Genomic DNA, 27,565 nt, shown 5'->3' with positions numbered 1-27,565 from the left:
CATCCAGCTTCTCACACAGCATTTCTGTTTGGATATCTAATAAGCATCTTAAACTTAACATGCCCAGAACTGAACTCCTCATATTCTCTCTAAAACTCAGGCTTCTCACAGTGTTTGCCATTAGAGTAAATGTAAACTCTATCTTTCCAAATGCTCAGGCCAAAATCCTTGGAGTCATTCTTGATTTCACTCTGTTGAATACCCTCTATCCAATATGTTAGTGAATTCTGTTGGCTCTACCTGTCCATAATTTACTACATTTTACATTTCACTGCTACTGTCATAACCCAAGACACCATAATTTCTTTCCTGAATTATTATAATAAACTTTTTTTTTTTTTTTTTTTTTTTTTTTGAGATGGAGTCTTACTCTGTCGCCCAGGCTGGAGTGCAGTGGCACGATCTCGGCTCACTGCAAGCTCCGCCTCCCGGGTTCACGCCATTCTCGTGCCTCAGCCTCCCGAGTAGCTGGGACTACAGGCGCCCGCTACCACGCCTGCCTAATTTTTTTGTATTTTTAGTAGAGACGGGGTTTCACAGTGTTAGCCAGGATGGTCTTGATCTCCTGACCTCGTGATCCGCCCGCCTCTGCCTCCCAAAGTGCTGGGATTACAGGCGTCAGCCATCGCGCCCGGACTATAATAAACTTCTACTTGGTCTTCTTGCTTCTGTCCTTGCCCCATAGTCTATGGTAAAGATCATAGACAGAGTGAACCTGTTAAAAAATAAGTCAGATCATGAAAATCTGCCACAAATTTTCCAATTGCTTCTATCTTACTCAAAATTAAAGTTAAAAACCTTATAATATCATATATACATCATACATCTGCACTCCTTTATTTCTTCTTGCCCCACCTTTTCTTGTTTGCACCGCTGGCTAATTGTTCCTAAACATCTCAGCCAAATTCGTGTCTAATTTCTATTTGCTCGTTGGTGTGCCTTGGATGTTACCTCCCCGGTGATCTCAGTGTCTCTTCTCCTTACTTCCTTAAGATGTTTGCTCAGGTGTCATCTTCTTCATGATGCCCACCCTGACCACTCTAGTTAAAACAACTAATCCTTCCCCAATCTAAGCACTCTATATCCCTTTACTGTTTTTTTTCCTAGAGCATACAATTATTGATTAATTTATTTTTGGTCTCAATGACAGAACATCAGCTTCATAAAGGCAGGGATTTTGATCTAATTTGTTCATAGCTGTGTCCCCAGCACCTGCAATAGTTTCTAGCATATAGTAGGCACTCAGTAAATATCTGTAGAATTAATAAATGAATGAAAATTAGACAAAGATGAAATACTCTTCACATATAGCAAGTTTCCACAAAATTACAAGGAAACGTTAATAACAAACAGAATTGCAAAGATTTTGAATAAATGTTAAAAATGGGCATTATATCTATGAGAAAAAGTTCATCCAGTCAGGGTTATTTTTAAAATTCAGTTGATTTTTCTATCAGACTGTTAAAAATAAAACTGATAGTACCCAAGAATAGGGGCAATTTTTAACAATCTTTTGGAAAAGCAATTAGGTATATAATAGTATATAATTTAGTCTTTACTTAAGAACTGATTGGGCTATATTGCTATTATTATTGTCATTTTATAGATCAGAAAATTCAGGCATAGGCAACAAATTAAGTAATTTGTTTTAGATCACACAGAATATAAGTAGAAAATGCCAACATTAAAATCAGGCATTTTGTTTTAGAGTTCATACATTTAATCACTGCTTATTACTTCCAATTTTATTGATGAAAATATTGAGTTTCTGGTGTTACGGAATTTTTTCAGAGCAACACAGGTGAGGGTTTGAACTCAGGCAGTTGTGTTCCAGGGACTATGTTTTAAATTGTTACATTATATGGCACTCTAGTAGTGGGAGAATTTCAACCCACTTCTGTTATGTCATAATTAATCATGTAATACAAAGTAAACAAAGTTGTATAATCATTAGGTTGATCCAAAAGTTACACATTAAATCCCATGTATAAAAAGGGTAGTTGGTGCAATATGTGGCATTCAAGTTGTAAAGATGGATCCCATCCACCACATGACAAAACTTGATTCTGACTCACGATGGGTGAGCAAACATGGAGTATGTCCTAATCAGAAATCAACAGGATATGGGGCTTCAGCTGGGCCAAGACTGTTCTGGAATAGCTCCATAACCCTCCCATGGCAGTCACTGCTGATAATCTATCCATAAACTTTTTTCCCTCTCCCACTCTTCTCCCCAAATTATACTTCCCTACCACTTTGCCATTAATAATGTAACCCTGAATTTTCTCAGGTAGTACCTACCGTATTTCTCCAAGGGATTCTATTGGCATTTTAGGAAGAAAAATCTTATTTTTAAAATTATTGCAAATAATCTCAATATAATTTAGAAAGTAAATAAGTTATAAACTTTAAGTCTATAAATAAATTTTTAATGTTTAAAAATGTAATCTCGCTTGTTTCAGATTGAATTTAGAACTTAAATGAGTGAATGTGTGATTAGCATTTATCACTTAGTAGGTTCACATGTCCAAATTATTTATTGAAAATAAGCTTTTGGGTGATGTAATTACACATTTCACTGCCTTTGATCTCACTTTCAGATTTTGCTGGAATCCCGTAAAGGCTTTCGTTTTGATTTCAAGTTTAATTTCAGATAGACTCTCCTGTAATTCAGTAAGTAGCATGCCAATTATTTTCCAAACAATTCAGCTGTCGGAAGTATGGTTCTGTGAAAAACTTTTGAGAAATTCCAGGACACTGGGAGTCACCAGTATTACTTTCTTTGGCAACATTCTTGGGACAGACATAGGCGGCATGATAAAGGACAGGAGTGATTCAGCCTCATAGTGAATACATCCCATGTGAAATCAGGGCTGACCACCCTTTTATTTAAAGCATATTAAAATGATGGGAATTGAACAATGAGAACACATGCACACAGGAAGGGGAACATCACACACCGGGGACTGTTGTGGGGTGGGGGAGTGGGGAGGGATAGCATTAGGAGATATACCTAATGCTAAATGACAAGTTAATGGGTGCAGCACACCAACATGGCACATGTATACATATGTAACAAACCTGCACGTTGTGCACATGTACCCTAAAACTTAAAGTATAATAATAATAAAATAAAATAAGTAAAAAAAAAAGATCCACCCATCTATTATTATCAGTGAGGGTTATATAATGATAATATCACTTTTAGGAAATGTTACACAATCATTTTTTGTTTAATAAAATTAACACATTTTATGACTTTTTGGTCTATTGTTTGTGTTCTCAAAGAATAGCCTTGAAAGTTACTTAGTAATAGCTACAGTATAATATTGTGGCCTTTAGTTTCCATTTCATAGACAATCTTAAAACACTATGTGCCTTGTGTTACTTCAATTGTGCTTTCCATTTTCTGAGACAGGGGCTGAAAAATATTTAATTAAGAAGACACAAATCCTGAGCAAACACACACCATGCTGTGTCCTTTATCAATGTTGATCTTTTCCTGGGGCTGGGGGTCTAGTTTTATTTTGGGGCAGTGTTAAGGATGTCTGGAGATCACTGGCAAGCAATATGTATTCTCAGGGCCAAACTAATCTAATCCAATGTGAATCTTGAAACAAAAGGAACACTGTTTCAAAATGATAACTGGAATTTCTAAGTACTTTTATGTTTAGATTGTCACCTACTTCAGTTGCTGGAGAAGTTTCAAAAGGTACATTCTGTGGTTATATTAAGCACAGGCTTCAGAAGAACTGGCCAGAAAACAGGAGTCAAATCGTCAGTGACAGGGTCTCCATCTACCCCTAAAAGAGTATCTTCAGCCAGCATGGTGGCCCAAGCCTGTGATCTCATCACTTCAGGAGCCTGAGGCTATGGGGATGGGTAGGAGCTTGTGTGGATAGGGAATGGGGGGAGAAGAGAGAAGGAAAGAGGAAGTTGTGTACCACTCTTTTGTAAGTTTCAGGGGGAAGAAGAAATGGGTTCCCGAATTCAACCATATGTCTTCTTGAAGGAAACTAAAGATATAATAAGCAGATCTTGCTACACATTGCAGCACTTACTGTTTTCTGTTTGAGTGGACTGATGCCCTATCCATTGGTAAATTTTAAGTTTTCTTTCTATTTTCCTATGGTGGGATGGCTGTGCTTGGGAGATAAGAGAAAAGAGAAAAGAAAAGAAGTGAAAACATTTATTAGAGAAAATTAAAATATCTTGGCTTAGTGTATCATTCAGTGGAGACTGGTCAGTTGAAACTTCTACTAGTATAAAAATAGAAATAAGGAAACATTGGCTGGGTGCGGTGGCTCACACCTGTAATCCCAACACTTTGGGAGGCTGAGGTGGGCAGATCACGAGGTCAGGAGTTTGAGACCAGCCTGGCCAACATAGTGAAACCCTGTCTCTACTAAAAATAAAAGAAATTAGCTGGGTGTGGTGGCATGTGCCTGTAATTCCAGCTAGTTGGGAGGCTGAGGCAGGAGAATCACTTGAACCTGGGAGTCGGAGGTTGCAGAGAGCCAAGATCACGCCATTGTATTCCAGCCTGTCCAGCCTGGGCAACAAGAGTGGAACTCCATCCCAAAAAAAAAAAAAAAAAGAAAGAAAAGAAAAGAAAAAGAAAATGTCATTTGTTAGATTTAGATTTAACTCCCACTTCAGGAATTAAGGAAATATAACAGTTTCCTTCCAATTAATTCAGGAAACCTGGAGAGTTGGGGTGGGGAAAGGAATTGTATCTTAAATGTGTGAGAATGCAGCTTATCATGTTGTTCTCTCTCTTTCCCTAATGTTCCTTTACAAACCCAGCCTTCCCAGGAAAAGTCTTTTTTCCCCCCTCTGATCTGGCTGTTCATGAGTGCTGTCCTTTGCCTCTCTTAGTTAGGGCTGGGTGAAACCCGTCAGGCTCACATCCATGGCTTTGATTGTCTCTCTTTTTACTTCCTGTATTGGATGTTTCTCACGTTTTCAATTGTATTTATGCTTAATTTTCCAAACATCTCTGTTCTGAACAGAGAAAAATATCTTATTTGGATATATACCCTAAATAGTGATAATAATAAGTTATTATTACAGTAACGCGCATTTACCGAGCACTTACTGTGTGGCACGTGCACCATGTTCCCTCCCACTTTGTTTCATTGCAGCAGCTTTTTTTTCCCCCAGGATGCTCTTCATCCTGCTGCCCTTTCTTAACCCTTACTTATACCTTAGGCCTCTGCTGACTGGGAATTTCTCAAGAAATTCTTGCAAAGTCCCTCACGGCATCATGAACTGCTCCTTCCTTGCTTACATCACAATTGTAGCTTGGCTTTTATTTATGGGTAGGCTTCATACACCACTGCACTCGGGATCTGCCTTCCACTCATCTTCCCACTGATCCTCCCCATCCCTGCCCACCTTCTTTTTCCATTAGCCCAAGACAACTGACAACATGATATACGTGGCAGGCGAGACCACCAGGTGAGGTAAGAAGGTATTCCCAAGACAACTCCCACAAAATTTGGGGGATGTTATGAGTGGTGGGAACCCATGGAAAGTGGTAGAAGAATCACTGTCCATGTGGTGGATTTAAAGCATTTCAAGGCTCCCCAGAGCACAGAGCTTGCATGTTGCTCAAGCATGGTCCTTAATTAGGGGCTGCAAGAAAGATGCAAACCTGGACATTAAGCCATTCCATAATGATCAGGGTGACCCAAGGATGACTGAAGGGCCTGCATGAATATTTTTCTTTATATACAATCTCTGAGCCCTCACAGATCAGTGGTGTGAGGGGAGGGTGGGCATTGATAAGTCCTGAGTAAATTTTGCGCCATGTAGGCGGCATGGTGTACACTGTAAGAGACAAGAAAAAGAAAGAAATGATTTGCTTTTTGCATTCACATTTTTGGAGTAATATTCACACTTACTTCACCTATGGTAATGGTGAGAAAGAAGAAAAGAGAGAATAGTGGTGGTCCTGCTTTCACTGAGGAGCTCTCAGGAAGCTCATATCTGAGTGCTATTTGGCATAAAATTCTTAGCACTATTAAGGTCATTGGAAGAATGAAGGAGGCAAGTAAACTGGTCATTTTCAGTCCTTGCCCCATGTCATTACTCACGCATGGCTCTGTGACTTAAGGCAAGTGATCACACTTCCTGGGACTCAGCTTTCTCATCTTAAAATTATAAATAATTGGTGTGTGTGTGTGTGTGTGTGTGTAAACTTTGAATGTTTTGGTGGAGGAAGTAATACAGATTCTCCAAACTAGGCCACTTTGATTTAAATGTCTTCAATTTCAACATAATATTCTTCAACTTTTCTCAGCATTGTGGTTTGACATATTTTCCAGGCTGATAATATTTATTTAGTTTATTGATGTGAACTGCTGTATAGTTTTCCGTTGCGTGAACATATCACTTGGTTTTATTACTTCATTCACTCAGCAAATGTGTGAAGACCTACTTTAGTAAAGGTACTAGGTTCTGGGGGCATCAGAGTGAACCAAACCCATAAAGTCCCACCTAGCACGTAGTTTACATTCTTATTGGGAAGAAGGGAGCAAGTGAAAAGAAAAAGAGAAAGTCGTTGGAGATGAAGTCTAAAAGATAAAATGTCCTATATGCCTAGGACATTTTAGACTACAGAAAGCATTTAATCCAGAATGTGATGTTTCAACCACAGGAATAACTTCATCTGATTTTGGTTGTCTAGGGATTATTCTAACTACCACGTGCAGAACAGAAGGTAATGTATAAGCTTGGAAGCAGAGAAACCAGTTAAGATGCTATTGCTATAATCGAGACTGGAAATGAGGAAGACCGGGACCAAAGTCACAGTGGTGGAAGTGATTGCATTTCACTATTTTTTTCTGTTTTTCTTTTTAATTATGTTATTATTTCCTCTTTTTTTAATGTTAGAGAGAGTCATCAATCTACGTTGATGCTTGGGATATTAAGTTGATAGAAGAGACAAGAAAACTCCACTTTTTATTAATTCTTGTACTGATATTTAGACACGTCCTACTTTTTTCTATTTTCAACTTAAATCTTTCTTTTTTGTCATTAGTTATCATTAGTTTATTATAAAAGAGAAATATGGAAATTATTTACATGATGAAAGATTTCAGAACTTCAGTGGAATGGGCAGCTTCATGTTGATGCCATTTCTTTTTTTTAATTATAATTATACTTTAAGTTTTAGGGTACATGTGCACAATGTGCAGGTTAGTTACATATGTATACATGTGCCATGCTGGTGTGCTGCACTCATTAACTCGTCATTTAGCATTAGGTATATCTCCTAATGCTATCCCTCCCCCCTCCCCCCACCCCACAACAGTCCCCAGAGTGTGATGTTCCCCTTCCTGTGTCCATGTGTTCTCATTGTTCAATTCCCATCTATGAGTGAAAACATGCGGTGTTTGGTTTTTTGTCCTTGTGACAGTTTACTGAGAATGATGATTTCCAGTTTCATCCACGTCCCTACAAAGGACGTGAACTCATCATTTTTTATGCATAGTATTCCATGGTGTATATGTGCCACATTTTCTTAATCCAGTCTGTCATTGTTGGACATTTGGGTTGGTTCCAAGTCTTTGCTATTGTGAATAGTGCCACAATAAACATACGTGTGCATGTGTCTTTATAGCAGCATGATTTATAGTCCTTTGGGTATATACCCAGTAATGGGATGGCTGGGTCAAATGTTATTTCTAGTTCTAGATCCCTGAGGAATCGCCACACTGACTTCCACAATGGTTGAAGTAGTTTACAGTCCCACCAACAGTGTAAAAGTGTTCCTATTTCTCCACATCCTCTCCAGCACCTGTTGTTTCCTGACTTTTTAATGATTGCCATTCTAACTGGTGTGAGATGGTATCTCATTGTGGTTTTGATTTGCATTTCTCTGATGGCCAGTGATGATGAGCATTTTTTCATGTGTCTTTTGGCTGCATAAAAGTCTTCTTTTGAGAAGTGTCTGTTCATATCCTTTGCCCACTTTTTGATGGGGTTGTTTGTTTTTTTCTTGTAAATTTGTTTGAGTTCATTGTAGATTCTGGATATTAGCCCTTTGTCAGATGATTAGGTTGCGAAAATTTTCTCCCATTTTGTAGGTTGCCTGTTCACTCTGATGGTAGTTTCTTTTGCTGTGCAGAAACTCTTTAGTTTAATTAGATCCCATTTGTCAGTTTTGGCTTTTGTTGCCATTGCTTTTGGTGTTTTAGACATGTAGTCCTTGCCCATGCCTATGTCCTGAATGGTAATGCCTAGGTTTTGTCTTTAATTATTTGCAGCATGGCTTCCATAAATCACTGAATTATTCCTTTATTCTTTTATAAATTTTGTGATTTCTGAGAGCTGCTCTTTTAGAAATTTTCAATGCCTACATAGAAATATGTAAGAATTTTCCTTTAAATAGGTGTTGCATCCCTCCTTTGCAGATTTGAACATGATATTCCAGTTATTAACATGTTCATTAGCAGAAAGTTCCTTTGGCATGTTTAAGTGGAACATGCATAAAGTGATTCTAAAATAATCATCTATTTACTCTATAATGTTGGAAACTCTTTAAATAGACAATATCCTGGTTCTTTATTTTTAAAATTTGCTAGTATTTTATTTAGCATTTTCTAATTAAACATTTTTTATTGTGGTAAACACTTAGCATGAGATCTAGCCTCTTGACAAACTCTAAGTGCACAATACAGTATTAAGTATGGACACAATGCTGTACAGCAGATCTCTAGAACCTATTCATCTTGCATGACTGAAACTATATATCCATTGAACAGCAACTTCCTATTTCCCCTTCCCCCAGCCCCAGGCAACCACCATTTCACTTTCTGTTTCTATGAGTTTGACTATTTTAGATACCTCCTATAAGTGGAATAATGCAGCATTTGTTATTCTGTGACTGGCTTATTTCGCTTAGCATAATGTCCTCCAGGTTCATCCATATGGTCACATATGGTACGGATGTAAAAAGATGGAGCAGTTGTGGAAAACAGTAGGAGAGTGCCTCAGAAAGTTAAAAATAGAACTACAGTATGGCCCAGCAATCTCACTTCTGGGTATACAGCCAAAGGAAATGAAATCAGGCTCTCGAAGAGGTACGTGTACTCCCACGTCTATTGCAGCACCCATCATACTATATGTATGTGTATATTTTCATAACAAAGCAACTGTTTTTATCGTCTCCTCCATGTCTTTGCAAATATACTTTGCAAATCCAGCACAACTGCTCCAAGTCATCTGCATGAAGATTTGACAGTGGTCTGTAGAGAAGGCAAAATATTAACCGCTTAGTAGCTGGAGGTGTAATTGGAAAGATTTAAGATGTAATGTTACTGCTTTGGGGGTTTGCTTTTTGGATCACAAATTGTCTTCTTTTCACATTTGATGGTAGCATCTTGAGGGGGTAAGATGAAATCTGGAGGAAAAAAAATCTAAGAGGAGCAATTACAAGCAATAGGAATTATACCAAATGATTAGTTGTACTTCTCACCAAGAATAATATTATAGTCAAAGAACACTTTTGTTACTGTGTTGAACTTAAAGATTTTAGTTGTATGTGAATTTCATTATATTTTACTGTTTTAAAATTTCAAACTGGGACTAGGACTTGACAAATGAAATAGTGAGGCCTGTAATGGTTGAGTTGTGGTAAGATTTATATATATATTTTTTATATATATGTGTGTATATATACAAACTCAATTTAATGAATCTAGAACCTAGACTAATTAGCAAAAAGATCAGTTCAAAAACATTTATAAAGTTTGTGTGCTGGGCTTAGTATCTCATACATCTGAGTCAAGGAACCCAGCCATTCACTAGGTAAGAGCTCTCTCAGGCCTTCAGATTTCTAGTCGATATAGTGGGGACAAAATGTAAATTATGCACCACTTAACTAAGAATTTAACCCATGTATGTCTGAGGTTTCAAGTTTTTGAATTTTTACAATCAGACCTTGGCTATGACCTTGCGCAGTAGGATATAAATAACTCCCACCTGCTTAGCGTTCCAATAATGGAACACTAGGCATAAATGGGCTGTCATAGGCTAGTCCTTAAAAAAATTGTATCAAGAGTAGAATCACTACTTTCCTTGTCTAACTTAAGGGAGTTGCTGAAAGTTGTAGTGTTCCTTCAATTATAGAACTTAATGTTTTAGAACTTTGGGCAGTTTATCAACGATAACTATCTAGTAGTTAAGGTTACACAAGTACACAAGTGTTAGTTAAGAACTGTTGGAGTGCAGTGAATTGTGGTTGCTGAACCAAGGAGCAGAGTACTGACCAGTACTTTTAAGAGAAACTTTCAAATCTATTTCAAAGCTGTATCTGATTATAACAGAATTCCTATTCTGTTTATTCCTGATACTGATATTTTAATGGTCCCTCATAGTCGTTTAAAGATTTTCAACAAAATATATTAGCTCAGAAATGGCATTGAAAGACCAAGCTTAAATTTTTTTTGTTTAAAAAAAACTAATCAACAGAATATATTGGCTAATTTGGTATCCTTTTCAAGGAATAATTTTATCTCCTCCCTACTTCCATCCCTACCTGCCTCCCTCCCTCCCTGCCTCCCTCCACCCATCTATCCATCCACCCATCATTAGGTACTCATACATTCAGTATATGTGCATTGGTGTGTTTGCACTAGATAGCAAGAGCTAATTCTGTGCATCTTTTCCCAGTTTTACATTCAGTATCCTCAAGGTGGTAGCATGAAATTGGACGTGGTGAGACTCTACATCACAGAAAGTAGCAAATGCTTTAAATCTGCAGTGCCCCTGAGCCACCACACACACCTCCTCACCCCCAACACACAGTGTCCTGGCTGTTAAACATTTACTAGCAGAGCACTGTCATGCCACTAAGTCCATTTGGGATTGGTTTAAAAATTAAACACAGTGCAAAATAGATGATTAACCTGAGGATAATGGGGTGCAAACTAAAGTAAGCTGTAAATTGCACATACAATTTAAAGACAAATTTAGTTTAAAAATCATAAACCAACAAATTTGAGGAAAAGAAAAACTATTTCCCTGAAACTGACCTAAGAACCACGTATTTTTGTCTTTAATGTTATAAAAGCCACTATTGAAATGGGCAGTTCTTTGGCTGATGATATACAAATGATAAAGTCATAATATTTAAAAAGATATAATTATTTTTAAAGATTATAAATGTACTACATTTCAATATATCAAATTTTTATTTTTCTAGCTCTTTGACTCAAATGCTTATTTATATTAATATTATTATTAAAATATTATTTTCCATTGAGTATAGGTTTACAGAACCTTTCATAAATTTTTACATATATTCCTTAACAATTATCATTATTGTTATTTTCTAAATTCTCTAAATCTTTAGCTTTGATTTTTTTATTTGGCCAAATATTTACTTAGGAGATTTATTTGTTAACATTCTAAGTAGTTTGAGTCTTAACTGTCATTCTTCTCTTTTTAAGTTCTAGTTTTATTTCGGTATGATCAAAGTATGTGGCTAAGTTCTACACTTTAGAATATAATTAGAATTTTTTTAACTACAGTAGAATTGGTTTTTATATATGTTCCATTAATATGTGTATCACGTGTGTATGTAGCTGCTTAATCAGCTCATTTTTTAAATCATTAAATTTATATGATGTTTTAAATATAATTTTTGTCTGTTACATCTAGCATTGATGAAGAAATAGCAATGTCAAATCATTTTAATTATATATAGGTATAATTTTAATTTGCTTAAGTGTAATTATTTGTGTTTTACATATATTTCGAATGTTATCTGATGCCTAACAGTTTATTACTGCTTCACTGTGAACTAAACCCTTATCAATATAAAATGTTTCTCTTTTTTAAATTTAATAATTTTGCCTAGAATTCTACTTTTTCTTGTATTTATTCACTGCCTTTGTTTTTTGTCTACATTTTCCTGTCATAGTTTGCCCATTCATCTATTTTGCTGAAAATATTGTCATCACATTTTATTAGTGTCTCCTGTTTACATCTAAAAATAGTTTAATGTAATCTAAAAATCACTTTCTTTTAACAAATGTTAAATCTATACAAGTTGACTGAAATTTCTCATGAACTTCATTTCATGACTTTTGCATTTATTGCTTTCTTGTTTCCCATCTGATCTTTGTTTCTATTTTTTGAAATATCGCTTAAACTTTCTTAACGCTTTACTTGCTATAGTGATTTTAAGTTACATACACTATCTTTACCCTCTTCTTTTTCACATTAAAAACAAACTAATTTGTAAATTAAATTGTATGCAGTATGAATAGAGAGCCAGTCCTGCTTGTTAATCTCTGCCACACCAACTTTGAACCAGATCTTTGCACAGGAAAATGCTGAACAACTATTTGCTAAATGGGTAAATAAATCAATAAACGTTATTGATAAAACATGATTCTTCTACTATATCAGAATAAGAAATTTAAAATACTGGCATTTCTTCTTTCTTCCTCAGTCCTGTTACTATTCTTATTTTATTGAAATAAAACTGGATATTGCTGTTAATTTGTTTTTAACAATATGTTCTTTTCCATCCATGAGTTAGTTTTTGACGTTTGTCAAGTTTCATAACTATGTTTATAACAATTACTCAGACACCAACTCTGTGTTAAGTTCATTACTCACTGCCTTTTCCTTTGAACCACACATACCCTCAAATTGAGTTAATTTATTGGTTTTGATTCATTTCTTGGTTGAATGAAGCACTTCCTTGAGTAATCTTTTCAAGACAGATAAGTGGGTAGCATACTTCCTGAGTCATTTTGTGTCTGAGAAGGTTGTTCTGCTCTCACTAATGAATGTTGATTTGGCTGAGGTTAGAAATCTTGGGTCACAAACTTTTCTCCTGAAACTCTAAAAATACTTCTCCAATGCCCCATTTTATATAGTGCTGTGGAAGAAAAGTCTGATGGTATCTCAATAGCTCTCACTTTATTCTGCATGGAAGCTTTTATTAATAGAATATTATCTTGGTATTCAAAGTAATACAAAATAAATCATCATTCATCTAATTGTAGGTTGATTTTTATTACTATCTGACATTCTTAGGTCCTTGAACTAAATGTTGAACTTTTATATTAAACTGCTGTATTTTTTCACAATCATTGAATTTTCTGCACACACAGGATTATAGAGTATATTGTGTAGTAGTACAACATGTGATTTGAAGTCCGTTCTGTTAGATACTATTTGGGTCATTAACACATGCACAAACATAATTCCTAAGAAGAAAATATGTCTATATTTTCTATATAGTTTCTTAAAACACTGTTTTAGGATCAATAGGCCATGAAATACAGTGGAAAAGCTCTTGAAGTTCAGTGTGCTGTAGGGAAATTCACAGGGGATCTATTGCTTTCTACTCAGCTGCTCTGCTTATGGACATGTGGGTGTCTTTCTCAAAGTTCTTCATGAAATTTTTGCGCCTTTTATTGACTGAGCCTTGTCTATATTTAATTCCATCTTCTGTGAATAATTTTAAGAAGACTTTGGCTGTGTGCGACAGAAATCCCAAGTAACAGTAGCTTCCAGGAATTGGATTCTATTTTTTTCTTTCATTGTTAAATGAATGAACAGTCAGTGGGAACACAGTAATATATTTTGAGAAAGGGAGAAAGAAGCAAGATCAGGCACCCAGTTATGGTTTCTGAGCTAGAATGAAGGAAAGCCAGAGCCTTAGAAAAGAAATTAAAGTCAAAATAGCCTCAGTGATTGATTTTACAAGAACACTTGACTATTAGCTGTGCAGGTCACTCCTACCTGAAAATATTTTATCATTATCATCCACAGATATGGAAGTCGTATTAGGCGGTGTGGTGATCAGGAATATGGGCAAGACATTCTGGCAGATTAGATCTGAATCTTGTCTTTGCCACTCTGCTAGCCCTGGGGCCTTTAGCAAGCTACAGCACCAGTCTGTGTCTCAGGTTCCCCACATCCAAGAGGAGTAAATAGACTGCCTTACAGCATTATGGACACTTGAAGAGTCACTTGTAAAGTCAAGTCTGGCACAGAGGAAGTACTCATCAAATTTAGACATTATTGTGACCATATATAATGACAAAACTATGTAGTAGGCATGTAGGTGATCACTAAGCCAGAAGGAAAAGAATCTCTCTTGTGAAAGTGTGATATTGAGAATAGTAGTCCTGTATTCTCAAATTTTAGACTGTTCTGATAAATACCCTAGATTACATTTAATGAAATGTAGAACATGAATAACTTCTAAGAACTTCCACATAAAAGAGTACGTGATTCTCGCTTGTGACCAAGGGTTTTCTGAATTTATCTTTACAGTGGAGCCAGCTAGGAATCTCTTCAAAATTCCAAAGCCCTGGTTACACTCTAGACCAAATAAACCATAATTTGTGGGGCTAGGATGGAGGCATCAATATTTTTGAAGCTCTCCAGGTGATTCTAATATGCAAGTAACTGTGGAAACCCACTATTCTAACATATAATATCTTTATCTGGCATTTAGTTTCCTTATTTGTAAAATAGAAGTAATAACATCTACAGAAGGGTGGACTTCAGGATTAAATGAGAGATGTGAAAACAAATTTCTAAGTATCACATAACAGTTGGCTCAATGAAAAATAGTTTAATTCTACAAACTTAATTTTCTTTCAGTGAATACTTTAAATAATTTGAAGTCATTTAGACAGGCTTGAGTTTTATATCTTTCAATTTAAAAATAATTTATATCCTCTTCTTAAAATCTTCAATGAATGAAAAATGTTAGTGCCCATAATCATATTGAAAATTCCGATTTTTAAAAGTTTGCTCGTATGTCCTTTTGTCTCTAAGAACAGTACAAATGTTTACCAACTCTGACTGAAGAGTGAGCAATGTGTTGAGTACTCTTTATAAGAGAAATATCGCATCATCCAGCGCACCATACTTTACTGACGTCAATGTCCTGAAACAATTTGTTTGCTGAAAGTCTCGCCAAATCAGTGACAGTAAAAGTCGCAAGAATTTTCTTTAAATGTGGTTTGTGGCCAGTGGCAAAACCACAAAATATCTACGGATGTCTAGAACTGTAATTGTTTTTTTTGTTTTTTGTTTTTTTTTGTAAAACAATCTGCCCACAAAACAGGTAAAAGTACATTTGAAAAATGGCAGGCACTATTATTTATTTTCAAAATGAGAGCATCTGTCATCTTTGTTTTCTTAGCATTATGAATTTCTATCTGTAATATGTACATTCGTGACACATGGCATGGACAAGAGTATAAAAAGGAAAAAGTAGACCACCTAGGACCACTGAGGAGTTCCTCTATTGCAGGTGATAGCAAGGATTTAGGACATAATATCTTTACAAAACATTTTAGTCTTTTGTAGGACAAGAACCTGAGATCAAGTAACATCTCTGGGGATAATTTGTTAAATACTTTTTTGGCATTATCCCCAGTGCCAGTTCTCTAATTTCACTTAACTAAATGGAACTGATGTGTATTTAGTTAGAATCAAATGAAACTACCCTCAAACATTATATCTACTACAAACTTTGAAGAAAACAAATATGGAGTCAGAATGTATTGCTGATCTGGGACAAGTTAAAATAAATATCCTGGCCGGGAGCGGTGGCTCATGCCTGTAATCACAGCACTTTGGGAAGCCGAGGAGGGTGGATCACCAAAGGTCAGGAGTTTGAGAACAGCCTGGCCAACATAGCGAAACCCCATCTCTACTAAAAATACAAAAAATTAGCCTGGCATTGTGGCGGGCGCCTGTAATCCTAGCTACTTTGGAGGCTGAGGCAGGAGAATTGCTTGAACCCAGGAGGCAGAGGTTGCAGTGAGCTGAGATTGTGCCATTGCACTCCAGTCTGGGCGACAGAGCGAGACTCCATCTCAAAATAAAATAAATAGATCATTAACTAAATAAATAAATATCATTTCACTTAATATTCTCAAATATGTCAAAGGCACAGTAGGAAAAGGAACCACTAGAAGGAATTATTTTATATTTAACAAGATAAATAAATAAACTGTTGATAAATTCAAATTAAGTAGCCTGCAAATTCCATACTGGAATTGTCTATCTGCGTGTCTCATAGGTCCAATATACAATTTTACATTCTCAATGTGAGTTTGATAGAGAAATTTAGATTCCATAATTAGTGGGCATTTTATTCTATGCCTGAGCTTTCTTTAAATTAAAGTAAAACTATTTAAAAAGGAATTAGAATTTCTAACATGGGTATAGGCTGTTCCTGAGGAAGGGGGACAGGCTTTTGAAATTTATCAGGAGTACAAGTTTCCTCCCACCACATTGACATTAGTTTTAACTGCCAGGTGGAGAGAATACTGAAAATAGATTGTGCTACACAATTTAGAGTATATGCAAACAAAGCATGATAAAAAATGTTACCCCAACATCAAACATTTCTCTTGTAAGAAACTGCAATAATCCTTATTATTGCAATATCTCCTTTGAAAGAAATATATTGTCATATTGAGAAAAATAAATACATTCCCACCCTTCTGAGACAACAATTATCTAGAAAAGGTGCATTGCAGGAAATGGAGTTAGGCGTATTGGGAACTAGGGCGCTGGGCTGCAAAGTCAGCAGAAATTCCTTCAGAAAATGGGCACTCAGAAAAATCTGCTTTCTTACTTACAGGTTTCTCTTCTTCCTTTTTTAATACTGGGCATTCTCAGACCAGGTTATTCTTTACATTCTCATCACACTGCACAGTGCAAAGCCATGGAAGAGCTCAGTTTTCAGACAATGTGGGATGATGTTCAAGTCTTGACACATAATCAACAGTAAGACCAGCGCTCTGGCCAACAGAGTGGAAATATTCACTTTGAAAAGGCAAATCATAAACCAGAGTATGAGAATCACATTAAAGTATGCGTCTATAAAACACAACCTCTGTCCCCGAAGCTGACATTTGACCTGCAATACTTGCACATGAGAAATTATTTTCGGCCTCCCAAACATGTGCTTCAGAAATTGATCTGGAGATAATTGGTGAACCTTTCATATATAGACAGAATTTCAGAAAGCCATGCTTCTCTCCCAGTTCAGTCTCATTTACTCTCACCTATAAAGCAGAAGAACTAGAAGCTTAGGTCTAATAGAAATATAATAAGACCTGCCTGGTGACATTTATCTTCATGCTAAGAGAGTTGGTTTATGTACTTGTCCTCCACTTTCAGATGGTGTTAAATTCAACCATATTAGACCCCTCTCCTTATCTTCCATTGTTTTCCATAATTAATATGCTTACTCGTCACTTAAAATCTATTAAATATTGATGTAATAGGGAGGAAAGGTATACCTTTTATTTTTATTCTATTGTTATGTTTTATCATTCAAAATGTATTCTGATACATTTTAGAATTAGGAATACTAAGTAATGGGGTCCCCTTTTTTTCCTAGGGATCCTTAAGTCAATTGTATGGTTAAGATTTAATCGAATTTGTAGACTCTCTTGTCATATGTCACTAGTGTCACCATGCTATGGTGGGAATAAAAATGACTGTGGGAACTAATGCCTTGAATTTGAATCATAGTGCTTGTCCTTTAGATATATGGCCTTGAGCAGTTTGTCCTGCCTCAGTAATTTCCAGTTTTCCAGTGTGTAAAATGGGAGTGATAAACCCTACCTACTGCAGACAGGTGTAGTTGAGACTTTAGTACTGACACAAGTAAAGTGCAGTACCGTTATATAAATGTAGAAGGGTGTGAAGAATACAATAAAAATGGAGATATAAATTCTGCTGCTTTCTGATGTTACTCATGCTGCTCTGAAAGCAGGAAGGAGAACAAAAGAGTGGACCTGGCGTGATGCAGCTGATGACATGAGCGACCTGCTCAGGTCCCTTCCGTCTCACCCCTGTGATGCTCAATGGCCCAGCTTCTCAGGGCCTGAGGGTTTTCTGTGGTGAGCTCTGAGCATAGTCTGCTCAACTATAGGCATGCTGTTGTGAGGTGCTGGGAAATTAATGTTTCACCCTCCCCTACACAGTACCCTTCAATCCAAGAGTACTGAGAAACAATGAGTAAAGACACGGCCTGCTTTGCCTCTTGGGTGAGATACTTCCGAGGTACGTGTCCTATACCGGATCCCCATTCCCTGGCAGCTGGAGGAAGCTCAGGTGCCCGCAGTGGTGACTTGCTTGGTCACCCATTCTTGATCTTCCCTTCTCTATCACATCTCTCTGGTGTTTCCTGGGATCACCTCCAACTGGAACCTTTGTCTCATGGTCTGCTTCTGAGGAACCCAAACAAAGACAAGAGACTTCTACTGTCCCTCAAAGCCCTTCAGGCTTAAACCCCTCCAGGGTCATTCTTCACCTTTGCTGAATTCCTTTCAGTCCCATAAATTTCTTTCAATTCCTACAGGATATTCAGCTTGATCCTGTCTCAGAGCCATTGCCCGCGCTGTTTCCCCTCACTGGTTTGGGTTCTACCCTGTATCACTTTCACAACAGTTAATGGCAACTCATTTTTTTCTGATATCAGTCCGAAAGTTTATTTTTCAGGGAAGTTTTTCTTGACATTCCAGCCTACACTGGTTTCTACTTTTATATATTGTCTTATCCTTTAATCCTCATATAATTTATTATAGTTCATAATTACATACATGTGGAGGTATTTGACTGTCTCTCCCAAAGCAGCATAGAACTCTTAAGAAGACATAGATTATTTCTATTTTACTCACTAATTTTTCCCTAACTCCTGGCAGAGTGATGACTGTTTATTGAATGAAGAAGTAGTATAATCAATAGGTTGAGTATATATGTGTATACGTGTAACTGTATCCATTTATTGAATTTTAGTGCAACTTCTGCTTCCAGTAGTTTCACTTAATAGCCTTACTTTTAGAATAAAAGACTCCTGGCTCTAAAATTGCCGTAGGTCTGTTGTGATAAAAGTGAACACCTTTATGGTCAGAGCTTTGTCTAGAGTACAGTTGATTGGGAAGATTGTGTGCCAGGTTGTGTGTCGTGAAGACAAAGGCTGTCGTAGTAGCTCTGATGGGCAGGTGGCTGGAAGGTGAAAAGAAAGTGACCAGTCAGCTGTTGTCAATACAGGATTGAGTCTTTCAGTCAGCTCTTGGAGTGGCCTGGGGTTGAGATTGAGCGTTGGAAACCAAAATACCCTTCTCCATTTTGCTGATGGATTTAGAGGCTTTCCTTTAGGGGCTTACTTTTCCTTCACTACCCCCACCACAGAATTACTCAGAGCATGTTTTTTTTGTTTTTAATTTTTATTATTTATTTATTCATATGAAACAGAGTCTCACTCTGTGGCCCAGGCTTGAGATCAGTGACATGATCATGGCTCACTGCAGTTTTGACCTTCCAGGTTCAAGCGATCTTCTAGCCTCAGCCTCCTGAGGAGCCGGGACTGTAGGCACATGCCACCACGCCTGCCTAATTTCTTTTATTTTTTGTAAAGATGAGGCCTTGCTATGTTGCTCAGGCTTGTCTTGAACTCCTGGCCTCAAGTGAACCTCCCACCTTGGCCTCCCAATGTGCTGGGATTACAGGTGTGAGCCATCATGGTCAGACCTCAGTGCATGTTTTAATTCATGTATCGGAATTTACACACATAAGACATCTGTTATCTTAGAGTCTCCTTGGCCCCTTAGACCCTTCCTGATTGCATGGTTTCAGGCTATGGGTACAAACTGCGTTTAAAGGAAATTGTTTAAAATGAAGGAATGTATACTGGAATGTTCAAATATTCTAGTGAAATATCAGAATCCCAAATAAAATTATTCAGTCTAAAATGTAAAACAAAATGTATCATAAATGAAAAACTGTTTTAAAGTATATGAACAATGCTCAATATCATTAATTATCAGGGAAATGCCAATTAAAATAACAACAAAATATCATCTCACACCTGTCAGAATGGCTATTATCAAAAAGACAAAGGCCGGGCATAGTGGCTCACAACTATAATCTTAGCACTTTGGGAGGCTGAGATGGGAGGATCACTTGAGCCCAGTTGTTAGAGACCAGCAGCCTGAACAACATGGTGAGACCACGTCTTACTGTAGTCCTGGCGGCTCTGGAGGTTGAGGCTGGAGTACTGCTTGAGCCATGATTGAACCACTGCACTCTAGCCTGGGCCACAGAGCAAGACCGTGTCTTCAAAAGAAAACAACAAAAGATAACAAGTGTTGGCAAGAGGTGAGAAAAGGAAACACTTGCACACTGTTGGTGGGAATGTAAGTTAGTACAGCCATTATAGAAAACTGTATGGAGATTCCCAAAGAGCTTAAAAATAAAATTATCATATGGGCCAGCCACCTCACTATTTGATACACATCCAAAGGAAAGGAAATTTGTATGTCCAAGAGACATCCGCACTCTTGGACATACCAATTTCCTTATTTTATTTATTATATTATTTTATTTATTTATTATATTATTTTATTTATCCTGTTAATTGCAGCACTATTCACAATAGCCAAAATGTGGAATCAGCCCAAGTGTCTATCAACAGATGACTGGATAAAGAAAACGTAGCATATATACGCAATGGCATACAATTCACCTATAAAAGAGAAGGAAATCCTGCCATTCGTGACAACATGGGTGAACCTAGAGGACATTATGTAAAATAGGCCAGGCATGTGACAAATACCACATGATCTCGCTCCCATGTGGAGTCTAAAAACGTTGATCTCATAGAAGCAGAGAGTGCAGTGATGGTTTCTAGGGGCTGGGGCGCTAGAGGAAGGTAATGGGGACCTGTTGGTAAAAAGTTACAAAACTTCAGTTAAATAAGAAGAATATTTTTAAGAGCTCTATTCTACAACATGGAGGTATAGTTCATCACAATGTATTATATTCTTGAAAAATGCTAAGAGAGTAGATTTTAAATATGCTTATTACAAAAATAACAACTATGTAAGGTAATGTGCATATTAATTAGCTTAATTTAGCTATCCTACAATGTCCATATATTTTAAAACATCCTGTTGTACATAGTATGTATATACAATTTTATCTGTCAAATTTTAAAAAGAAAAAAGTGTTTTAAAATTTTCTACCAAATTATCTTGGAGGATTGTATGTAGACATCCTTTGAATAGATAAAGTATAAATTCCAGCAGTTCATCCTTCTAGAGGCTTTAATAGGACAGCTTCTTATTAACTATGCAAATGAGAGGCAATGTCTCTCTTATTCACAATGTTTCTACATGTCAAATTTGTACGGGGAAAAAAAATCTACTCAACTATTGGGATAATACAGTTTATCCTCTCCATCTCTTGCCCCAGAAATCTCCAGATATCTGAAACAAAATGACAAAAATTGTTTTCTATTTTTCTATTTTGCTTGAACAATGGCCTCATTCTCGACTTTGTGTGTGTTGACACTGTCCTTGTGCTCTGAGCAGTTGTGCATGATCAGCTGCACCAATTAAGAGAATCATTCCCCCAGCTTGGTAGTCAGAAATGCAGGGGAAGTTTAGAATGAGCCCTGGGGGAAGAACTCACATGTACAAATGAAATTATAGTAATATCAGTAGAGAGGATACCTGTTGTATTTTCTTTTTTTCTTAGTGCAAAAGGAATCTTAGGGGAACTGAACACCTGGTGAAATAGTTTGCTCAAATTCATTTAGCAATTTTTTTTCATTCCTATAGGGGAATTAGTAGAGTGCTAAAGGTTTTAAAGAATTCAGATGAAAAGCCATCTGTTCCCTGGGCTTTGTTCAATGTCAATTTAAGGATGGCTTTGGAGATTTCCTATTCCCTAATTAATTCCTCTAGATGAGCTCGTGGGGTTGGCTCAATTTATTTTTTGAAAGATGGAAAAAATGCTCCCATCAATTAGTCCTTTGTTATGTTGTGACTGAGATGGAAATAGCTTTTTGCCAAATGGAGCGAGGAGCTGAGAGATGCTTGTGTTTGCCGTGGCCAGGTGTCCTTTGTCATTAGGACTGGCTTTGATGTAAGTACCATTCTCTGGGCCTTTCAGATAATTGGTGAGAAAGCACCTGGCCTCGCAGAAATCTGAGTAATATTTAGCCTGAAGCACAAAGACAGGGAAACCAAAGCAGTGAACAGGAGTCATATTTTAAATAGAAAAAAACTGTTCTAATAATTTTTTGCATTACCACACGTAATGCATTTTAGTTGGAGGCTGTTTGAGTACTGTTCTCTAGAACCAGATTTTCTGTGTGGACAAGGACTAGGGGGCAGGGAAAGGGTTAACTGAGGGGTTTGGAGAAACAGAAAAGGGAAATAGAGAAAAAGAGGAGGGGGAAAAAGAGACACACGAGAGGAGAGGTGATGGGTGTCATGTAAAAGTGTACAGATCTGCCTGCTTAAATTCTATCTCCTCAAAGATTGGACCATTGAGCCAGTGGCTTGAGCAGGAATCTCCATCCAGGACAAGACACAAAGATGTTTGAGGCTCTCTGCTCTCACTCGTTGGGAGACTAGGCTCATTGGGAGTCTAAGGTCATTCTGCGCAGCATACTGAAAGAAATGATTTTCAAGGAAAAATGATGATCTGAGAGTATTATTTTTAGAATATTAACTAATGAGCTATCATCCTCCAATTGCCTTATTCCTAAGGTGTCTGACAATTCTGTACTGAGGTCATGTCTGGTTTACCTAAATCATAGGTTGTTTCACTAGTTAGGTTAAGCCTTGAACTTTAGTATGCCAGTGGGAAGGAGGGTATGACAGGGGAAATGCCAGCCAGAAAGGAATAGGATGGGAACATCCCAGAACTTCTGCCTGTGTGGATTGTCGGAAAGAGAAGGGAATCAATGAGGAGGGAGAGCAGCAGGTCAGATTCATGCAGTGCCTTTACATTCCTCTCTCAAATCTTGTAGGGTGTCTTTGTCAATCAGTTAAGGGAAAGAAAACAAGTGCAGTTACTGTTTTTCCTGTTTGGGATTTTGGGAATACACTGCCTCTCAGGATATCCCAGTAACAGGGTGATATATATTATTAGCAATGTGACCTGCTCTGTGTGTGTGTGTGTGTGTGTGTGTGTGTGTGTGTGTGAGAGAGAGAGAGAGAGAGAGAGAGAGGAGAGAGAGAGAAAGAGAGAGAGAGAACAGGCATGATGGAGTAGCAGCTGCAATTTCCGGCTTGTCTCATTATGGAGTGGAAGCCATTGCCGATGACAACTAGAGAGGAGGAACATCATGGTGTAGGAATAGAAACCTCTGTAGCCAAGAGTTTCAGGGTTTACTGCCTGGCTAAAATTGGGCAAGAATCATGGTCAGGCATCTGTGGGAAGGTTGCCAGCAAAAGCCAAGAAAGATCTAAGTCAGCAGGAGGGAACATCATTCTTTGACTAGGCTTAGAAAGCATGGATCACAGTCAGGAGCAGTTAACTATCACAGTAATGCTAGCCAGGCAAGCAATGAAAAGGCAGATACAAGACCTTATTGCCATAGTAGCTCCTGGATAGCCAGACATCATCACAGGACCCTCTCCTGCCAACACACACATGTCCTCATGTCAAGATGGAACACAAGAGCTCTCCCTCTGTTGGGGGGAGAAGAGAGGGAGATGGAACACAGAATGGCCAAATAGGAGCAGCTGTAAAATTAGAGAAAAAGAAGATATGACATTCACATCACGTTTAAGTTGACTTTTGTACATAAGAAAGATCAAACCAATTGTAAAAGCAATCACTTAAAATGCTCTGTTATCTCTGTCCATCTGTATGTAGTATAAGAAAATGTGTGACTCTACACCACAGGATCATTTCAAATATTGAGGAAATAAGATTGAGAAAAAAAGTTATTTGGAAAGAACAATTTTTTTTAAATTGAGGAATAAATAATTTTGAAAATTTTGCTTCAAAAGTTTTATTCACCACCCAGTGTCTTAAGATGAAATTTACATTTCTCCGCATGCCTCTTCAGAGCTTACAGACCTGTTCCTTGCTTGTCTTGCGTCTCTTTTTTTTTTTTAATTTTTTTTCTTTTTTTTAAATTTTATTATTATTGTACTTTAAGTTTTAGGGTACATGTGTACAATGTGCAGGTTTGTTACATATGTATACATGTGCCATGCTGGTGTGCTGCACCCATTAACTCATCATTTAGCATTAGGTATATCTCCTAATGCTATCCCTCCCCCCTCCCCCCACCCCACAACAGTCCCCGGAGTGTGATGTTCCCCTTCCTGTGTCCATGTGTTCTCATTGCTCAATTCCCATCTAAGTGAGAACATGTGGTGTTTGGTTTTTTTGTCCTTGTGATAGTTTGCTGAGAATGATGGTTTCCAATTTCATCCATGTCCCTACAAAGGACACGAACTCATCATTTTTTATGACTGCATAGTATTCCATGGTGTATATGTGCCACATTTTCTTAATCCAGTCTATCGTTGTTGGACATTTGGGTTGGTTCCAAGTCTTTGCTATTGTGAATAGTGCCGCAATAAACATACGTGTGCATGTGTCTTTATAGCAGCATGATTTATAATTTGTCTTGCGTCTCTTAACCACATTGCTTCCCTCCAAGCTCTTCCTCTCTGGCAGGATCCAGAGACTCGGGACATTTGTCTCTCCCAGTGCTCGCTGCTCTGGTGTTGCACACTCTGTTCCCTCTGCCTGGAACACCACTTATTTGTTTCTTATAAACAGGCAACCTCTCTCTCCCCACCTCCACTTGCAATCCCATGGGTTACCCGGTCTTCCAAGCATCTACCTACTGTTCTCCAGGGATCTTCCTTTTTTGGCATCATAGACCCATGTGACATCTGGTCATGATGATGAATCCTTCCCAATGTAGTGTTCTAAATGCATAAAATAAAGAAACTAAGCAAAGGGAACAGGTCCTATTGAAATAAACCTATCAAAATACTAGAGGAAATAAAATTTGATATATGAACATCTTTATTAATGTTTTAAGTGACAACATGTAGTGGTGGAACTAATAACCTCTCTAATTTCAACGTGATAATAAGCATAAATGATGTTTAGATATATTTCCTATAGTTGTGATGTGGTGTGAAAATATCTATAATTTCTATTCTGTGATCACATATTCTGCTGCTACTGTGGTTTGTTGCCTACAGTCATTACAGAAGGAAATGTTAAGTTTTAGTTAGTTATTGAAAATAAAGATGTAATATTTTTCTTAATCCAACTGCATGGCACTAGGTGAGGAGCCCCTGATTTTTTCACCTGCGCTTCCTGACCCCACAAGTCTAGATTAAACTGTTTCTCTGTCCTCAAGGCATGCAGAACCACTCCTTTCTTACCACATAGCACCCTAGATTGGAACCATTTGTTTATCATCTAAGAACTGTCACTAGATGTTAAGCTTTATGAAGGCAGATTTATCTGGTCATGATGTCCTTATGTTCAGCACTACTGAAATTCAGGAGAAGGTTCCCCATGTAGAACTGTGGCATTACATTGAACCTTTATTTGGTCTGATCATGTTTTAAAAGTATACATAATCTTAGCCCTCAGTTCCACACATCATGGCATTTTAAAATAGTTTTTCACATTTAAATCACAGATTCTGTTTGTAAAGACATGTTGAAAATATCTTAGACTGCCTTTAGACGTTTATGTAAATAATGTAAATGATGTCAGCTCGACGACAATATTTATTATCAACTCATTGATAACAACAATCTGGATTATATTCACTAATTCATTTAATCACCATCAATTTGGAATATTTGCCCCTTGGATGTGACATTACTGAAGGTGAGACTTTGGGTAAGTGACAACAGCACAAACAAGAGCAAAAACTCAGAAGTGCTCACATACAGGTCTGCAGGAGCAGCACTCACTGGACAAACTCACCGCCCTAGGATCAGTAGTAGGTATTCATATCCCCTGGTAGCCTCATTGTGTTGAGGCAGTAACCTAAGATTTGGAAAACCCTGATTTCTGACTTTGCAAGAGTGATTCTGACCCTTGGGCCATGGAGCTCTGAAGCTGCATGGTTAGGGAAGCACTGGCCTTCTCCTGGTGTTATCAGGGACCAGGATATGATAGCAAAATGATGTGGCAGAAACTGCGCCCCTCTTCTACCAGCTTAGTAGTGATGACTGGCAGTGGAGGGAGGCACAAGTTCCTGTCCTGCTTTCATGATTCCAGAAGTTGAAATTGCAGGTGGATTACGTGGTGAACTAGCAGAGAGGTGTTCTTGTTAGTAAGCTAGCAACAACACTGGTGTTCTTGGTTCTTGAAGCATAAACCTCTCCTCTGGCATATTGAGGGTGGGAGGAGGAAGAGTTGGGGTTCAAGCTTCAATGTTGCTCAGTATTGATTGGCTTAAAGATTGCTCAGAGTGGGTTTCCCACAGAACATTGCAGAAGGAAAATTCCCTTTCTGAGAAGCCAGGCTGCAGGGGTCAGTCTTGGACAAGTTAGCCCCTATCTCTCAACTCTTAACTTATCACTTCCTAAATTTTGTCTCCTTTAAAGATAGGGATGTAATGACAAACTTTTCTAGAACCGTTGGAAAAAGTAAGTTAAATAATGCATATAAAACCCTTAGCACGACTCTTGGCAGGTAATTAGAACTCAAATTTTATTATTATTTTTCTATAACAGTTCATACAATATTGTTGAGGACTTGCTTACAATATTTAAGAAAATTACAATATTTAAGAAAATCAGACTTTCTTCAAGTGCCAAGATTTTTTAGAATACTGTATCAATCTTTTCTTTTCTCTCTTGAGAGTCCAACTTCCTAAGTAGTATATTTAGGTTCCGTATGTATTACTCTGTTCTCTATTGGTTTCCTATGTATGTTCTGATTTCCTAACTAGATTGTACAATTTATACTTCTGCCATGCCTCTCACCCCTGGATCCATACCTTTGTTTAGACCAGAGAACAAAGAAGTTCAGCAGATATATATTTATGATTAGGATAGATATAAGTCTCTTAAAATAGATTCCTTGAAGAAAAGCCAAGGAGATATTCTGCTATATAAATTTGGTATATTTCATTTGGGTTTTGGAATACACTTTAATATATTTATACATTTCAAATTACATTTTTCCAACTATTTGGTGTTTTAGTCCATCATACTACTACAACAAAATACTGTAGGCTGGGTAATTTATAAAGAAGAGAAATTTATATTCTCACAGTTCTCAAGGCTGGGAAGTCTAAGTTCAAGGTGGTGGCAGATTTGGTTTTCTGGTGAGGGCTGATCCCTGCTTCCAAGATGACACCTTGTTGCTGCATCCTCCCAATAGCAGGAAGGCTCTGTCCTCACATGGCAGAATAGCTGCAGGGTAAGCGAACAGAACACTGCGTGAAGCCTCTTTTGTAAGGGTCATAATCCCATTCATGAGAGAAGGAGTCCTCATGACTGAATCACCTCTTAAAGGGGCCACCGTTTAATATCATCACGTTGACCATTAAGTTTCAACACCTACATTTTATAGGGGACACATTCAAACCATAATATTTGGTCTTTTTACTAATCCCAATAGTCACAGCTTAATTTGTTACATTTTTACAAATATTTTTCTTATTAAAGTTAAACATGCAATGTCATGTTTAATACTTCTCCAGAGATATATTTAACTTGCCAGACTTTAACAGATTCACATCAATGGCTTCTTCTTTTTT

General features: G+C 37.4%; 1 long non-coding RNA gene across 4 annotated transcripts; it reads right to left on the bottom strand.

Moving 5' to 3' along the window:
• Positions 1–563: 563 nt before the first annotated feature.
• On the bottom strand, positions 564–27,207 carry LOC105372518 (uncharacterized). Of its 4 annotated transcripts, XR_937230.2 has the most exons (4): positions 27,077–27,207; positions 24,668–24,755; positions 23,392–23,549; positions 21,102–21,278 (listed from the first exon to the last, which is right to left on the bottom strand). It is a non-coding gene; the product is annotated as an uncharacterized LOC105372518 (long non-coding RNA). The 4 variants fall into 4 exon arrangements; XR_937232.1 differs by lacking the exons at positions 21,102–21,278; positions 23,392–23,549 and adding an exon at positions 564–715; XR_937233.1 differs by lacking the exons at positions 21,102–21,278; positions 23,392–23,549 and adding an exon at positions 564–715 and having other exon boundaries at positions 24,672–24,755.
• Between the last annotated feature and the right edge of the window lie 358 nt (positions 27,208–27,565).

This window comes from Homo sapiens, chromosome 20, assembly GCF_000001405.40.
Source record: "Homo sapiens chromosome 20, GRCh38.p14 Primary Assembly".
NCBI classification, from domain to species: domain Eukaryota; kingdom Metazoa; phylum Chordata; class Mammalia; order Primates; family Hominidae; genus Homo; species Homo sapiens.
Note: the sequence above shows the minus strand (reverse complement) of the source record. Positions and strands in the feature narration are given on the sequence as shown.